General features: G+C 38.7%; 1 protein-coding gene across 2 annotated transcripts in view, besides 2 other annotated features; it reads right to left on the bottom strand.

Moving 5' to 3' along the window:
* The window catches only part of DIAPH2 (diaphanous related formin 2), a 920,156-nt gene that overhangs the window by 786,429 nt on the left and 115,258 nt on the right, over window positions 1–18,469 (bottom strand). The window lies entirely within an intron of this gene.
* Window positions 2,385–2,885: an enhancer, noted in NCBI's record as "H3K27ac hESC enhancer chrX:96070683-96071183 (GRCh37/hg19 assembly coordinates)". NCBI's record gives its function as "activates a minimal SCP1, AML or CMV promoter by ChIP-STARR-seq in naive H9 embryonic stem cells {active_cell/tissue: H9 hESC(naive)}" and the evidence as "EXISTENCE:reporter gene assay evidence [ECO:0000049][PMID:30033119]".
* Window positions 2,886–3,386: an enhancer, noted in NCBI's record as "H3K27ac hESC enhancer chrX:96070182-96070682 (GRCh37/hg19 assembly coordinates)". NCBI's record gives its function as "activates a minimal SCP1, AML or CMV promoter by ChIP-STARR-seq in naive H9 embryonic stem cells {active_cell/tissue: H9 hESC(naive)}" and the evidence as "EXISTENCE:reporter gene assay evidence [ECO:0000049][PMID:30033119]".

Raw genomic sequence — 18,469 nt, 5'->3', positions numbered from 1 at the left:
TTTTAATCAATTTTAATTAAATTTAAGTAGCCATATGTGACCTGGGGTTACTTTATACTTAAATATACCATTCAGCACTAACCTAACTGTAGGCAGTAGAAAAGCAGTGCCTTGCCTCAGAAGACAAGTGGATACTTAGTGGATACTATTCCCCCAACCCCAAAAGAGGTTCCTGGGTAACCCCAAAAGAGGTTGCTGGGTAATGGTTTTGCCATTAATGGCAAAAACCACAATTACTTTTGCATCATCCTAGAGATTTAAGAAATGCTGGGTTTAAAGAAAGTTAAACTGACCAGGCACCGCGGCTCACACCTGTAATCCCAACACTTTGGGAGGCCGAGGTGGGCTGATCACAAGGTCAGGAGATCGTGACCATCCCGGCCAACACGGTGAAACCCCGTCTCTACTAAAAATACAAAAAATTTAGCCGGGCGTTTTGGCGGGCACCTGCCGTCCCAGCTACTCGGGAGGCTGAGGCAGGAGAATGGCGTGAACCGAGGCGGAGCTTGCAGTGAGCCGAGATCGCGCCACTGCACTCCAGCCTGGGCGACAGAGCGAGACTCCGTCTCAAAAAAAGCAAAAAAAAAAAAAAGAAAGAAAGTTAAACCAAAGACTTCTTAGAAGTTTCAACAGCTAACACACTTCACTAATTTTCAGAGGGGAATACAGTATATAGTTTTCCTTTGTTACAAAAATGCTAAATGCCTGTGTGCCCCCAAATCCTTATGATGAAATCCTAACCCCCAATGTGATTGGGGGGAACTTTGAGAGGTAATGAGGTCACAAGGGTGGAGAGACCTCATGAATAGAATTAGCGCCCCTATTAGGGACCCCAGAGAGTTCTCTCGCCCTCCTTCTACCATGTGAAAATATAAAGAGAAGTCAGCAGTCTGCAACCCAGACCACCAGAACCCGACCACCTTGGCACTCTGATCTCAGACTTCCAGCCTCCAGAACCGTGAGAAATAAATTTCTTTTGTTAAATATGCCACCCAGTCTATGGTGGGTGACATATTAACATAACTTTGTTATAGCAGCCCGAAAGAAAATAGCCTCCAATATATAAAAAGTTAATATGACATTGTTTGCATTTAAATATGGCATATTTATCTGATGATTTGGAAACTCACAATAATTAAGCCATCTTTTTCCTTCTTTTTTTGATCCTGGAAGTGTGCCTATTTTTCAATTTTTAATTTCTGTGGGTACATAGTAGGTGTATATATTTATGAGCTACATGAGATATGGTGATACGGGCGTGCAGTGCATAATAATCACATCATGGTAAATGGGTTAGCTATCCCCTCAAGCATTTATCTTTTGTGTTACAAACAATCCAATTATACACGTTTAGTTAGTTTAGTTATTTTAAAATGTACAATTAAATTATTTTTTACTATAGCCACCCTATTGTGCTAGCAAATACTAGGTCTTATTCATTCTATTTTTTTGTACACATTAACCATCCCCACTTCCCCATCACTACGCTTCCCAGCCACTGATAATCATCATTCTATTCTCCATATCCTTGAGTCCAAATGCTTTGATTTTTTAGCTCCCACAAATAAGTGAGAACATGGGAAGTTTGTCTATCTGTGCCTGGCTTATTTCACTTAACATAATGTCCTCCAGTTCTTGCCATGTTGTTGCAAATGACAGGATTTCATTCTTTTTATGGCTGAATAGTACTCCATTGTGTATATGTACCACATTTTCTTTATGCATTCATCTGTTCATGAACACTTATGTTGCTTCCAAATCTTCACTATTGTAAATAGTGCTTCAACAAACATAGGAGTGCACATATCCCTTCAATATACTGATTTCCTTTCTTTTGGGTATATACCCAGCAGTGGGACTGCTGGATCATATGGTAGCTCAATTTTAAATTTTTGGAGGAACATCCAAACTGCTTTCCATAGTGGTTGTATTGATTTACATTCCCACCAACAGTGCATGAGGGTTCCCTTTTCTCCATATCATCACCAGCATTTGTTATTGCCTGTCTTTTAGACAAAAGCCATTTTAACTTGGGTGAGATGATACCTCATTGTAATTTTAATATGTATTTCTCTGATGATCAATGATGTTGAGCATCTTTTCATATGCATCTCTCTCCTTCTTCAATTAATTTTCTATTACTTCATATACTGATGCAAAAGACAGACAAATAAGGGAATGACAACAGCAAGATGGTGACCCTTTTATCCTTATACCCACTTCTAGGTATTGATCCAAAAGAATTTATGTCAGTATCTCCAAATGATATCTGCACTCCCATGTTCATTGCAGCATTATTCATTGTAGCCAAGAGGAGAAAACAAGCTAAATGTCCATAGATGGATGAGTGGATAAAGAAAACATACATACATACATACGGTGGAATATTATTGAGTCATAAAAAATAAGGAAGCTCTATCATATGCTAAAGCATGAGTGAACATAGCTAACTTTATGGTAATTAAAATAAGCTAGTCACTTAAGGACAAATACTGCATGAGTCCATTTATACCTCAAGTAGTCAAACTCATCAAAAAAAACTCAAAGTGGTTGTCGACAGGTGATGGGGTGAGAGAGAAATACAAGAGTTGTTGTTCAGGCCAGGCGCGGTGGCTCACGCCTGTAATCCTAGCACTACTGGAGGCCAAGGTGGGCGCATTGCCTGAGCTCAGGAGTTCCAAGACCAGCCTGGGCAACGTGGTGAAACCCTGTCTCCACTAAAATACAACAAAAAAAAATAGCCGGATGTGGCAGCGTGCACCTGTAGTCCCAGCTACTTGGGAGGCTGAGGCAGGAGAATTGCTTGAACGTGGGAGGAGGAGGAAGCAGTGAACCCAGATAGTGCCACTGCACTCCAGCCTGGCGACAGAGAGACTCTGTCTCAAAAAAAAGAAAAAAACAGAGAGCTCTCCAAGATGGCCGAATAGGAACAGCTCCGGTCTGCAGCTCCCAGCATGATCGACACAGAGGACAGTGATTTCTGCATTTCTAACTGAGGTACCTGGTTCATCTCATTGGGACTGCTTGGGCAGTGGGTGCAGCCCACGGAGGGCGAGACGAAGCAGGGCGGGACATCGCCTCACCTGGGAAGTGCAAGGGGTAGGGGGATTTCCAATTCCTAGCCAAGGGAAGCTGTGACAGACTATACCTAAAAAAACGGGACACTCTGGCCCAAATACTGTGCTTTCCCAATGGTCTTAGCAAACAGCACACGAGAAGATTATATCCCGCGCCTGGCTCGGTGGGTCCCACGTCCATGGAGCCTTGCTCACTGCTAGCACAGATCGACCTGCGAGGCAGCAGCCTGGCAGGGGGAGAGGCATCCACCATTGCTGAGGCTTGAGTAGGTAAACAGAGCGGCTGGGGAAGCTCAAACTGGGCAGAGCCCACTGCAGCTCGGCAAGGCCCACTGCCTCTGTAGACCCCCACCTCGGGGGGCAGGGCATAGCTGAACAAAAGGCAGCAGAAACTTCTACAGACTTAAACATCCCTGTCTGACAGCTCTGAAGAGAGCAGTGGTTCTCCCAGCACGGAGGTTTGAACTCTGAGAACAGACAGACTGCCTCCTCAAGTGGGTCCCTGACCCCCGTGTAGCCTAACTGGGAGACAGCTCCGAGTAGGGGCCAACTGACACCTAATACAGGCGGGTGACCCTCCAGGACAAAGCTTCCAGACGAAGGATCAGGCAGCAATATTGGCTGTTCTGCAGTCTCCGCTGGTGATACCCAGGCAAACAGGGTGTGCAGTGGACCTCCAGCAAACACCAACAGACCTGCATCTGAGGGACCTGACTGTTAGAAGGAAAACTAACAAAAAGAAAGGAATAGCATCAACATCAACAAAAAGGATATCCACACCAAAACCCCATCTGGAGGTCACCCATTTCAAAGACCAAAGGTAGATAAAACCACAAAGATGAGAAGAAATCAGAGCAGAAAAGCTGCAAATTCTAAAAACCAGAGCGCTTCTTCTCCTGCAAGGAATTGCAGCTCCTAGACAGCAACGGAACAAAACTGGATGGAGAATGACTTTGACGAGCTGACAGAAGTAGGCTTCAGAAGGTCGGTAATAACCAACTTCTCCGAGCTAAAGGAAGATGTTTGAACCCATTGCAAGGAAGCTAAAAACCTAGAAAAAAGATTAGACAAATGGCTGACTAGAATAAACAGTGTAGAGAAGACCTTAAATGACCTGATGGAGCTGAAAACCATGGCACAAGAACTACGTGACGCGTGCACAAGCTTCAACACATGATTCGATCAAGGGGAAGAAAGGGTATCAGTGATTGAAGATCAAATCAATGAAATAAAGCGAGAGGAGAAGTTTAGAGAAAAAAGAGTAAAAAGAAATGAACAAAGCCTCCAAGAAATATGGGAATATGTGAAAAGACCAAATCTACGTTTGTTTGGGGTACCTGAAAGTGACAGGGAGAATGGAACCAAGTTGGAAAACACTCTGAAGGATATTATCCAGGAGAACTTCCCCAAACTAGCAAGTCAGGCCAACATTCAAATTCAGGAAACACAGAGAACACCACAAAGATACTCCTTGAGAAGAGCAACCCCAAGACACATAATTGTCAGATTCACCAAGGTTGAAATGAAGGAAAAAAGGCTAAGGGCAGCCAGAGAGAAAGGTTGGGTTACCCACAAAGGGAAGCCCATCAGACTGACAGTGGATCTTTCAGCAGAAATCCTACAAGACAGAAGAGAGAGGGGGCCAATATTCAAAAGTCTTAAAGAAAAGAATTTTCAACCCAGAATTTCATATCCAGCCGAACTAAGCTTCATAAGTGAAGGACAAATAAAATCCTTTACAGACAAGCAAATGCTGAGGGATTTTGTCACCACCAGGCCTGCCTTACAAGAGCTCCTGAAGGAAGCACTAAGCATGGAAAGGAACAACCAGTACCAGCCACTGCAAAAACATGCCAAATTGTAAAGACCATCGATGGTAGGAAGAAACTGCATCAACTAATGGGCAAAATAACCACCTAACATCTTAATGACAGGATCAAATTCACACATAACAATAATAACCTTAAATGTAAATGGGCTAAATGCTCCAATTAAAAGACACAGACTGGCAAATTGGATAAAGAGTCAAGACCCATCAGTGTGCTGTATTCAGGAAACCCATCTCACGTGCAGAGACACACATAGGCTTAAAATAAAGGGACAGAGGAAGATCTACCAAGCAAATGGAAAGCAAAAAAAAAAAGAGGAGTTGCAATCCTAGTCTCTGATAAAACAGACTTTAAACCAACAAAGATCAAAAGAGACAAAGAAGGCCATTATATAATGGTAAAGGGATCAATTCAACAAGAAGAGCTAACTATCCTAAATATATATGCGCCCAATACAGGAGCACCCACATTCATAAAGCTAGTCCTCAGAGACTTACAAAGAGACTTAGACTCCCACACAATAATAATGGGATATTTTAACACCCCCCTGTCAACATTAGACAGATCAATGAGACAGCAGGTTAACAAGGATATCCAGCACTTAAACTCAGCTCTGCACCAAGCAGACCTAATAGACATCTACAGAACTCTCCACCCCAAATCAACAGAATACACATTCTTCTCAGCACCACATCACACTTATTCCAAAATTGACCACATAGTTGGAAGTAAAGCACTCCTCAGCAAATGTAAAAGAACAGAAATCACAACAAACTGTCTCTCCGACCACAGTGCAATCAAATTAGGACACAGGATTAAGAAACTCACTCAAAACCACACAACTACATGGAAACTGAACAACCTGCTCCTGAATGACTACTGGGTACATAACAAAATGAAGGCAGAGAAAAAGATGTTCTTTGAAACCAATAAGAACAAAGACACAGTGTACCAGAATCTCTATGACACATTTAATGCAGTGTGTAGAGGGAAATTTATAGCACTAAATGCCCACAAGAGAAAGCAGGAAAGATCTAAAATTGACACCCTAATATCACAATTAAAAGAACTAGAGAAGCGAGAGTAAACAAATTCAAAAGCTAGCAGAGGGCAAGAAATAACTAAGATCAGAACACAACTGAAGGAGATAAAGACACAAAATACCCTTCAAAAAAATCAGTGAATCCAAGAGATGGTTTTTGAAAAGATCAACAAAACTGATAGACCACTAGCAAGACTAATAAAGAAGAAAAGAGAGAAGAATTGAATAGATGCAATAAAAAATGATAAAGGGGATATCAGCACCAATCCCACAGAAATACAAACTATAATCAGAGAATACTATAAACACCTCTATGCAAATAAACTAGAAAATCTAAAACAAATGGATAAATTCCTCAACACATACACCCTCCCAAGACTAAACCAGGAAGAAGTTGAATCCCTGAATAGACCAATAACAGGCTCTGAAATTGAGGCAATAATTAATAGCTTACCAACCAAAAAAAGTCCAGGATCAGATGGATTCACAGCCGAATTCTACCAGAGGTACAAGGAGGAGCTGGTACCATTCCTTCTGAAACTATTCCAATCAATAGAAACAGAGGGAATCCTCCCTAACTCATTTTATGACGCCAGCATCATCCTGATACCAAAGCCTGGCAGAGACACAACAAAAAAAGAGAATTTTAGACCAATATCCCTGATGAACATCGATGCAAAAATCCTCAATAAAATACTGGCAAACCGAATCCAGCTGCACATCAAAAAGCTTATCCACCATGATCAAGTGGGCTTCATCCTGGGATGCAAGGCTGGTTCAACATACGAAAATCAATAAACGTAATCCAGCATATAAACAGAACCAAAGACAAAAACCACATGGTTATCTCAATACATGCAGAAAAGACCTTTGACAAAATTCAACAGCCCTTCATCCTAAAACCTCTCAATAAACTAGATATTGACAGAATGTATCTCAAAATCATAAGAGCTATTTATGAGAAACCCACAGCCAATATCATACTGAATGGGCAAAAACTGGAAGCATTCCCTTTGAAAACTGGCACAAGACAGGGATGCCCTCTCTCACCACTCCTATTCAACATAGTGTTGGAAGTTCTGGCCAGGACAACAATTAGGCAGGAGAAAGAAATAAAGGGTATTCAATAAGGAAAAGAGGAAATCAAATTGTCCCTGTTTGCAGATGACATGATTGTATATTTAGAAAACCCCACTGTCTCAGCCTAAAATCTCCTTAAGCTGATAAGCAACTTCAGCAAAGTCTCAGGATACAAAATCAATGTACAAAAATCACAAGCATTTCTATATACCAAAAACAGACAAACAGAGAGCCAAATCATGAGTGAACTCCCATTCACAATTGCTTCAAAGAGAATAAAATACCTAGGAATCCAACTTACAAGGGATGTGAAGGACCTCTTCAAGGAGAACTCCAACCACCGCTCAATGAAATAAAAGAGGACACAAAGAAATGGAAGAACATTCCATGCTCATGGATAGGAAGAATCAATATCATGAAAATGGCCATACTGCCCAAGGTAATTTATAGATTCAAAGCCATCTCCATCAAGCTACCAATGACTTTTTTCACAGAATTGGAAATACTACTTTAAAGTTCATATGGAACCAAAAAAGAGCCCACATTGTCAAGACAATCCTAAGCCAAAAGAACAAAGCTGGAGGCATCACACTACCTGACTTCAAACTATACTACAAGGCTACAGTAACCAAAACAGCATGGTACTGGTACCAAAACAGAGAAACAGACCAGTGGAACAGAACAGAAGCCTCAGAAATAACACCACACATCTGCAACCATCTGATCTTTGACAAACCTGACAAAAACAAGAAATGGGGAAAGGATTCCCTATTTAATAAATGGTGCTGGGAAAACTGGCTAGCCATATGTAGAAAGCTGAAACTGGATTCCCCCCTTACACCTTATACAAAAATTAATTCAAGATGGATTAAAGACTTAAACGTTAGACCTAAAACCATAAAAACCCTAGAAGAAAACCTAGGCAATACCATTCAGGACATAGGCATGGGCAAGGACCTCATGACTAAAACACCAAAAGCAATGGCAACAAAAGCCAAAATTGACAAATGGGATCTAATTAAACTAAAGAGCTTCTGCACAGCAAAAGAAACTCCCATCAGAGTGAACAGGCAACCTACAGGATGGGAGAAAATTTTTGTAATCTACCCATCTGACAAAGGGTTAATATCCAGAATCTACAAAGAACTCAAACAAATTTACAAGAAAAAAACAAACAACCCCATCAAAAAGTGGGTGAAAGATATGAACAGACACTTCTCAAAAGAAGACATTTATGCAGCCAACAGACACATGAAAAAATGCTCATCATCACTGGTCATCAGAGAAATGCAAATCAAAACCACAATGAGATACCATCTCACACCAGTTAGAACGGCAATCATTAAAAAGTCAGGAAACAACAGATGCTAGAGAGGATGTGGAGAAATAGGAACACTTTTACACTGTTGATGGGAGTGTAAACTAGTTCAACCGTTGTGGAAGACAGTGTGGCAATTCCTTAAGGATCTAGAACTAGAAATACCATTTGACCCAGCCATCCCATTACTGGGTATATACCCAAAGGATTATAAATCATGCTACTATAAAGACACATGCACATGTATGTTTATTGTGGCACTATTCACAATAGCAAAGACTTGGAACCAACCCAAATGTCCATCTGTGATAGATTGGATTAAGAAAATGTGGCACATATACACCATGGAATACTATGCAGCCATAAAAAATGATGAGTTCATCTTCTTTGCAGGGACATGGATGAAGCTGGAAACCATCATTCTGAGCAAACAATCACAAGGACAGAAAACCAAACACTGCATGTTCTCACTGATAGGTGGGAATTGAACAATGAGAACACTTGGACACAGGGTGGGGCACATCACACACTGGGGCCTGTCATGGGGTGGGGAGCAGGGGGAGCTATAGCATTAGGAGAAATACCTAATGTAAATGATGAGTTAATGGGTGCAGCAAACCAACATGGCACATGTATACCTGTGTAACAAACCTGCACGTTGTGCACATGTACCCTAGAACTTAAAGTATGATTAAAAAAAAAAAGAAAGAAAGAAAGAAAAAAAAAGAGTTGTGGTGCAATGGGCATAAAGTTTCAGTCATGCAAGATGTAAATGTTCTGGAGATTTGTTATACAACATTATATCTGTCGTTAACAATATTGTACTATTCACTTAAAAAATTCTTAAGAGGGTAGATCTCAGGTTATGTTTTTTTTTTTTTAACCACATTTTTTTTTTAAAGACCGCCATACAATATGAAGCTGGGATCTGCAAACATATTGATTTATTTGTACTTTGAAATAGGGAGATTACTTTTTTGGAATAAGAGGAATTCTCTTCCAGCTACTACTGGACTAGGAAGAAGTTTCCAGAAAAGTTGCAATGGAGAGAAGACGGAGAGGAAAAGTGGGTGGAGAGAGAGATATCTTGTTTATATTAAATACTTAATAGAGCACTATGCAAAGTTGTCATGCAATATCAAGGAAACAATATTTGTGGCTGGGTGTTTAAAAAGTTTAATAATTTACTATTTTATTGTATATGTCAATCAGTGAAATATGCATAAGCAATTAATAACATCTTTACCAAGCATGTCTTAAAACACCTTTAAAATACATAAATACATGGTACTATTCAAGGCAGTATAAAAAGCATTTCCGAGTGGAGAAAAAGGATACAAATACAATCTCTGGCATCACGTAATTTAAAACAACCATCAATAGAAGAAAATTTAAGAGAAATGGTAAAAATAGTAAAAGAACTTACAGGTAGTATCCTTAAAAAGTCATAAAATCCAACTCTAAACTAATTTTACAGTCCAACACCAATGATTGTTTTTAGATTTCTGTTAAAGACTTTTTTTCTCAATGTGGTATTTCTATCTAAGTTCCTGACAGAGTACTAGTTGAAAAACAACTACACTATTGCTTACTGTGCAGGCCTCTGGTTGAATAAATGGCTTAATAAAAATGTTTAGAATAGAAAAGCATTCATGTTGAAAATGTGAAATGTCTTCCTTAATGGACAATTGAGCATTACCATGTTTATGTGATGTGCATACATTTTTTAACATAAAATTTTAAGCAAGATTTAAACCAGCTTTGCAGATATATTCAAAATATGAGGTGGGATAGAGAAAGAATGCACAAAAATTTTACTTCTGCTTAGTAAAAAACATTTTGTCACTATAACTTTAATATAATGATTAATTTTTAGAGTGATATATAATGGGTACTGGTGCATTTGAAGCATTTTGTACATTTTCTCATTATATCCTTTATTTATTCCACATTTATGCTTCATTTCAGTTCATAATTAATGGTAAGTAGGGTTTTGTCTATTTAGTGAGTATTTGTTAAATCAGCACTATTATGGAGCTCAGAGAGAGTGGGAAGGATGGCAACTGAATTAAAGTACCTAGGAACTGCAGTGGTAGAGTGGTAAGTAATAACAAAGGGTCATGAAACCAAACAATACATACATTTTACACTGATTCTTTGAGATATAATTACTTTTAATTCATATAAAAGATCAACCTCAAACAGGGCTCAAATCTTTTTTTAAGGATCACAAGGAGACTTTTTTTTTTTTTTTTTTTTTTTTTTTTTTTTTTTTTTTGCTATTTCTACAATACCAAATCTCACTTGTGGTAGATGGAGTTCCATCCTCCCCAATAGCCTCATAGACCAGGTGTCCTCTGAGTGTCCTTCCTGCAGTGATCTACTCTTATCAGTAGGAAAGCCCATAATTGTAAAGGCTTTAGCTCCACACCAAGTTTATTGAATTCCTGGCACACTTTTTCCTTTGCCTAGTGTCTCTGACCTCTGTTTAGGACTTTTTTCTTAGCTCAGACCCTCTTCTTCAGTCCCAGATTCTGTTTCCCAGTTTCCTAGTGTTAAAATTAATTAATCAGGAGGCCATAAGACTGAGGGGACCCAGCATCCTGGGATCCTATGTAAGCAAACTGAAACCCAACTCAGTGTAACAATCACATTTTAGGAAAACGAAAATTAAGTGTAATCAATTCGAAACTAATCTCTAACTGGGGACTTTTCATTTGAATGATCCAAATAAGGCTACCGCTCCACGTTAGCCAATCAAACTATTTTCTTTGCCTTGCTTCTGTATTCATCTGACAAAAGTCTTCACCTCATGTTTCTTGGGTGGAACTCCTGAGCCACTTATCATCTGGGATTGCTGGATTCAAGAGTTTATTTGCTAAAATAAACTCTTTAACATTTTCATGTACCTCAGTTTATCTGTGAATAATAGACTATTAGTGATTCCTCTTTAACACTGAAACGTGTGTATCAGACCTATGATAGTTAACTATGTTCCTTTCCTTACTTAAATTTGTCCACTAGCCTAGTCAGATTATTAACCTGGATTCTCCTTCAACAATAAGTCCAGAACATCTATGCCTATCCTTCTTTGTTGCAAGGGTAAAAATGTATATAATTGGCTAAGCAAATAAAGAATGAGCTAATGTTAAAGTGGCATGTCCAGTTTAACAGAAACCAGGGCCAGGCGCGGTGGCTCACGCCTGTAATCCCTACACTTCAGGAGGCTGAGGCGGGTGGATCCCCAGGTCAGGAGATCGAGACCACCCTGGCTAACATGGTGAAACCCCGTCTCTACTAAGAAAATACAAAAAATTAGATGGGCGTGGTGTCGGGCGCCTGTAGTCCCAGCTACTCGGGAGGCCGAGGCAGGAGAATGGCGTGAACCCGGGAGGCGGAGCTTGCAGTGAGCTGAGCTCACGCCACTGCACTCCAGCCTGGATGACCGAGCGAGACTCCGTCTCAAAAAAAAAAAAAATGCAGAAACCAGAAGCCAGAAAGCAAAAGTACATTGGATCATATATAGACAGGACAAATGAAATATAATTTCTTTGTTTCTTTTTTTTTTTTTTTTTTGAGATGGAGTTTCACTACTGTTGCCCAGGCTGGAGTGCAATGGCACAATCTCAGCTCACTGCAACCTCCGCCTCCCAGGTTTCAGTGATTCTCCTGCCTCAGCCTCCCAAGTAGCTGAGATTACAGGCATGCGCCACCACTCCCAGCTAATTTTGTATTTTTAGTAGAGACAGGGTTTCTCCATGTTAGTCAGGCTGGTCTCAAACTCCCGACCTCAGGTTATCTGCCCACCTCAGCCTCCCAAAGTGCTGGGATTACAGGCATGAGCCACCACACCCGACTATGAAATATAATTTCTAATCTTTACATTTTCAAATTACAAGCCCTCAATGTTCTAATTTCAGCATCAGTGGTGAAATGCCATACTAGAAAACTGAGGATTTATCTGTAAAATTACATATAAGTAAAAGGAAAATTCCCAAAACAGATTATAGGATTCTGGATACTGAGGTAGAAATTTGTGACACGACTATTAGGTTTCTGCATAGAATAATCACCAAACATCCTGTAAAACTACACCTGTGTTTATACCAGTGATAGCAGCAACATAACAAACTAAGAGCTCGCTATTCAAATTTCTCTTGCCAAGCTTTCTGGTTTTCCCAATTATAGTGATGGTGAATAATGGGGAAAGTCAGCAACAAGGGCAGCTTCTACATAATTGGAAAAGGTAATTTCCTATACTATGTGATTTATGGGCTACCCTAAGGTCTTATCTGCCTTCCCCTTTATCTAACCAGAAATAATCAGCATTATTCCACTCAATAGATAATAACATCAGAAGAAACGTTTCCAAAGAGTCACTGTTACACAGCTATACATTACCTAGGATTTTCCATTGAACCTTCTCATATTCTCTCTTATTTGATTTTTAGATTAGAAAATCTGCACTTAAAAAGAATCAGGCTCAGGGGCTAAAGTGGTGGGATATTTTCAATCTAAGTCAATTTCATAAGGTATAGAAACATTACAGTGAAATACTCCACCCCGTGGCAGCATGGTAGGTACCCCAGTGAGAGCTCTGACAGTCAAACAAAAGTTTGACGTAGCACTTCCCCAGAGTGGACTAAGTTCTCTTTAGCATGGTCCCCCTATATTACCAAAGGAATAAAATGTTAATATATCAAGTTTTTATTTAGTTTTGACCACCTAAATAATGCAGGCACTGAATCCTTTCAGGAGTAAAGTGAGAAACAAGTAAAAAAAAACCTACTAAATATAACCATACCAGATATCTTCTTGGCTCACTACCTTGCCTTGTTCCCATCTTTGCTCAAGTATCACATTCTCCACAAGGCCCACCCTGATCATCCTACTTAAAATTGCAACACCCACCCCATGGTACTCCTTACTCTGCTCTATTTCTTTTCGGGATAGCACTTACACCTATGATTATATATGTATGTGTATATATATGTGTGTGTATGTGTGTGTGTGTATAAATATATATGTGTATGTATATGGATGTATGCATGAATACATACATTTTTTTAATCTGTCCTACTAGAATGTACTGATAATCTGCTAGAATAATGCCTGGAACATCTAGGCATTCCCATTATTTTGCCTATATTAAACCCTAATAAGTTGCCAGGGTTATCACCAGGGAACTCACCTCAGTATTACCCTACTTTTTGTTTGCATGTTAGAGAATATTAAAGAATTTCAGTGGCTCTCCTCATTCCTTATGAGATTAAGGGCTTCCACATTTAAAAATGACACCCTGATAAATTATATGCTTTTCTCAAAAGTTTGAAAATAACTCCATTTAGATTCAGAGGACATTAGTGCCTCACTGGAAAGACAGGCTTTTTGTTACTACCCAGAGCAATTACTTTTTCAAGATGATAGTTATCATTTATTTATGCTGAATAAATTATTTTTAAATTTTAGCATATATTTATTATTTTATTTTTGGAACACTAAAAGAACTGAACTATTATCATTGTTCAATTAGAATGATCTAGCTCTACTTTTGCACTATTTTCCAAAATTAACTTGCCTAACTATCCCAAATTATCACTGTAAAATGATTGGTGTTTGGTGAATGAATATTAAAATTAATAATATTTCATATTACTTGGACTACAGCACATTTCTTTCCTAATAAGCGTTATATAAAATGTGTCATTCCTTCCCTTATCTTTCATTTAACCAACAATAGAAATTATTCTATCTTTTGCTACTTATCAATGCTTAATAAAACACTTCTTTCTACTATCTTTATTTGCTAAATGGAGAATGGGGAATGTTGGGACTTTAGGGTGGTAGAGAGGATGGCAGAGGCAGAGAGAGAAAATGAATATCAACATTTTGAGTTTTACTTTGGATATTTAAATTTGAGAAAATGAGATAAAAGGTGATACCTTCTAGGTATCTGAAAATATAAGGCCATTAGGCAGGTGAGAAGTCTGGATTGAAGATGTAAATTTAGGAGCATCCAAATAAGGCTGATAATATGAACTCAAGATGCCAGGCAAATTTTAATAGGAGAAGAACAAACAGCCTTGAACAAAAACTCAGGAAACAGACAAAATTATTCCGGTCAGGGAGATGAGATACTAGGACACAGACAACAGAGAAGCAGGGTACAGATAAGTAGAAAGCACAGGAAATTTTTTTTTCGGTCACCTAGGCTGGAGTGCAGTGGCGCAATCTCGGTTCACTGCAACCTCCGCCTGCAGGGTTCAAGCGATTCTCCTGCCTCAGCCTCCTGAGTAGCTGGGATTACAGGCGCGTGCCACCGTGCCCGGCTAATTTTTTGTATTTTTAGTAGAGACGGGGTTTCACCATGTTGGTCAGGCTAGTCTCGGACTCCTGACCTTGTGATCTGCCCGCCTCAGCCTCCCAAAGTGCTGGGATTACAGGCGTGAGCCACCGCACCCAGCCAGCACAGGAATTTTATGAAAGAATGGGTAGTAGGTGGTATCAAATGCCAAAACAAGTTTGAAGATTACATTTGAAAAAAGGACTTTGGATTTGAGTTCTAAGAAAAAGATCGTAGATAATTTTGGAAAGTGCTATTAATAGAGTATGTGTGCAGAAATTGTTATCTAGGGCTTAGGTATTCTTTCTTTGTTCTGCATAGCTACACTAATGTTACTACTAGGCAACTGTTGAGAATGAAAATCAGTTCAGTATATAAATTACATAATATACGCTGTGGAGATTCTTTATCATTTTAAGATTAAAGGCTAGTTAAGATTTAACATATTGGTTAAATTAGGGGCTAACATATCAGATTTTCTGTATGAATTTTTCTGAGCAGGCAAACATAAATTGATATATAGGGTCTCTCATTCTTTAATTTTAAAAATAAAATTATCATTTATTATGTATAATCTAAGTTAGTAAAGAAAACATCTTTTAATAAGATTGACAATATCAAGTGATGATGAGTATAACTACTGGTAGGGGTGTAAATTAATCTACCATTATGATGGTTAATATTGAGTGTCAGCTTGATTGGATTGAAGGATGCAAAGTACTGTTCCTGGGTGTGTCTGTGAGGGTGCTGCCAAAGGAGATTAACATTTGAGTCAGTGGACTGGGAGAGGCAGACCCACCCTCAATCTGGGTGGGCACCATCTAATCAGCTGCCAGTGTGGCTAGGATAGAAGCAGGCAGAGGAAGGTGGAATGAGTAGACTGGCGGAGTCGTCCGGCCATCATCTGTCTCCTGTGCTGGATGCTCCCTGCCCTGGAATGTAAGACTCCAAGCTCTTCAGCTTTTGGACTCTTGCACTTACACTAGTGATTTGCCAGCAGCCCCCAGGCCTTCAGCCATAGACTGAAGGCCGCACTGTCAGCTTCCAGACTTTAAAGGTTTTGGGACTCCGACTGGCTTCCTTGCCCCTCAGCTTGCAGATGGCCTATTGCGGGACTTCACCTTGTGATCATGTGGGTCAATACTCCTTAATAAACTCCCCTTCATGTATACACCTATCCTATTAGTTCTGTCCCTCTGGAGAACGCTGACTAATACAACCACCTTGGAAAACCATTTGGCAATACTACTTAAGTTTACCCTATATATATACCCTATCATGAGGCAATTCCATATACCAAACAGAAATGCATGCATATTTATACAAAACCACATTCCAAGGGCATTCATACCAAAAACACAAATGTCTGCTAATATTTGAATGGCTCAGCTAATTGTGATATATTCATACAATGAAATACTACAGTATACTAGAGTATTCTATTTATTTATTGCATGTATGGCAAACTACAGTCCATAGGCCAAATCTAGCCTGAAGCCTATTTTTACAAATAAAGTTTTAATAGAGCAAAATCACATTCATTTGCATATCATCTATTGATGTTTTTGTTTTACGAAAGCTGTGTCAGGGACCATATGACCCACAAAGCCTAAAATATTTACGGCTTATTAGAATAAGGTGCCCAACCCCAGCTACAGAAGAACAAAATTTAAAACTATAGTTATACTCAGGCCTGTGAATGATTCTCACAAACATGGGATTGGGTGAAAGAAGCCAGATAGGTAGAAGTAGATACTCTGTGATTTATTTTATGTAAAACTCAAAAAATAGGCAGAAATAAACTGTACTGTTCCAAGTCAAATTACTGGAAGTCTTTAGGGAGGACAAGGACAGTAGGAATTGGGAAGAGACAGTATTGTTCTATTTCTTGAACTGGGTATTGGTTATATGTGTGCATTCACTTTGAGATAACTCACTGAGCTGTAATATTATGGTTTGTGTACTTTTCTGTGTATGTATCCCTTCAATAAATGTATTTTAAAAAATATTTAGAAGGATTATATACCAAATTATTAATAGTAGTACCTCTACCATGTAGGGTGGGGAGATTTTATTTCTAATGCATATACTTCAGTATTTTTTAGCTTTTTAAACAAGATTATTATTTTAGAAATATAAAAACAAATATATAAAATGGTATATATTATCAAGTATAGAAATCTTCATCATGAGATGGTTCTGTATTTTTATTGACATGACATAAATTCTGGGCACTGAAGTGGTAACAGGAGGTCAGAAACTAAATGCTTATATCACTCAACATCTCTAAGTTTTGTGAGACAGTAATACAAAATCCATTTTATACCTGTTAGTCTTTATGTTTTATCTAAAAGTTTCATAATCTTATGAAACCCTCTCTCACATTTTTAAAATACAATCTTAATTATCTTTGTCAGATTAGAGCTGTTAATACATCCCCTATCTTTAGTAATACCGTGTATTAACATGATGGTCTTAACCGTCCCCTTAAGCTAATTCCCCTCCTTCTCAAAGAGATAAAAGACTTCAGGAATTGAAAGTGACATTTAAAAAATGGTGCTGGCATCTACCAATTGTTGCTTAAAGTAAAGATTTAAGAAAGAAATATTTCTGCATGATTTAATGATTGCTTGCTGTAGCAAAGTTCTTTTGTCTGGTCTCTAATACAACTCCCTAGAGTGTCTTGTTCAATATGCAACAAAACAATGATGCAGAGGTTTTGACAAAGAGCCCATCTCCCTATTGAGGTAGCATTACAGGATAATAGCTGCCTAAGCTATATAATTCAATGAGATATATTTTAGTATTAAAATATCTGTTAATCAGCTTTTAAAGCTGTGATGTTCAAAACTCAGAACAATATGTAAAACATTCCTTTACCAAAGGGAATGACTAATCTTCTGTATGGCTTTGATAAGTTACAAGAAATAGGTTTATCTCAGAAGACTGGTTATGATTAATATGCAGTTCGTAAAGCTCCTTAGCTCTGTATGGTCTCTCTCTAACTGAATCTAATAAAGATAGGTCACGCATTTTTCATATTCCTTTTTCACCCATGACAGATCTCTAATAGGATTTATATGCATTTGATATTAATTGTATCGGGGATTGCACCAACTGCAATAATCCTTCATTTCTTTGCCTTTTTAAAGCTATACATAAATTACAAAGTTTCCATTTTTGTTTGACTGCAGCTCTCACTGACGATCAACCATGTTAATGATAGAGAGGTAGAGAAAGATTAAGAACCACCTCACCTAGTTCAGTGAAATGCCAAATGATAGGAAAGGCTATAAACCCAGCTTTGAGAGCTGTTTTAGCTATCCTCTCCCTTGTGTCAGAAGAGCTCAAGTATATAACATCAGTGAAAACCTTGCACTCTGAATTGGAGAGGAAAGGACATGCTTTTAATAACCATCTCACAGAGGGGTGCTGGCAGTAACCCATCGTTCTGATGAAGTATGCTTTTCTAACCATCTACAGAGACAACACAGGAAATGTAAAAATGAGATAGTGCTACCTAGAATGAAAAACTGAGTGTCCTGGGGACTCAATCTAAAATAGTCCTTAATTTTAGCTCTGAACTCAAAAGAGGCTTCACTTACATCTGGGGAAAAAAAAATGTATCTTGTGAGACTATTCGACTATAATTGCAGTTAAGAGAAGTGGACAATTATATTTTCACATTCTATATTCTCCAGTATGACATAAATAGTGAAAAATTTCATTCTGCAAAAGAGCATAGCAAGGGATTTGAGAAACTAATAAAATGTTGCTTTA

The sequence above is a fragment of the Homo sapiens genome, chromosome X (genome assembly GCF_000001405.40).
Source record: "Homo sapiens chromosome X, GRCh38.p14 Primary Assembly".
NCBI lineage: Eukaryota > Metazoa > Chordata > Mammalia > Primates > Hominidae > Homo > Homo sapiens.
Note: the sequence above shows the minus strand (reverse complement) of the source record. Positions and strands in the feature narration are given on the sequence as shown.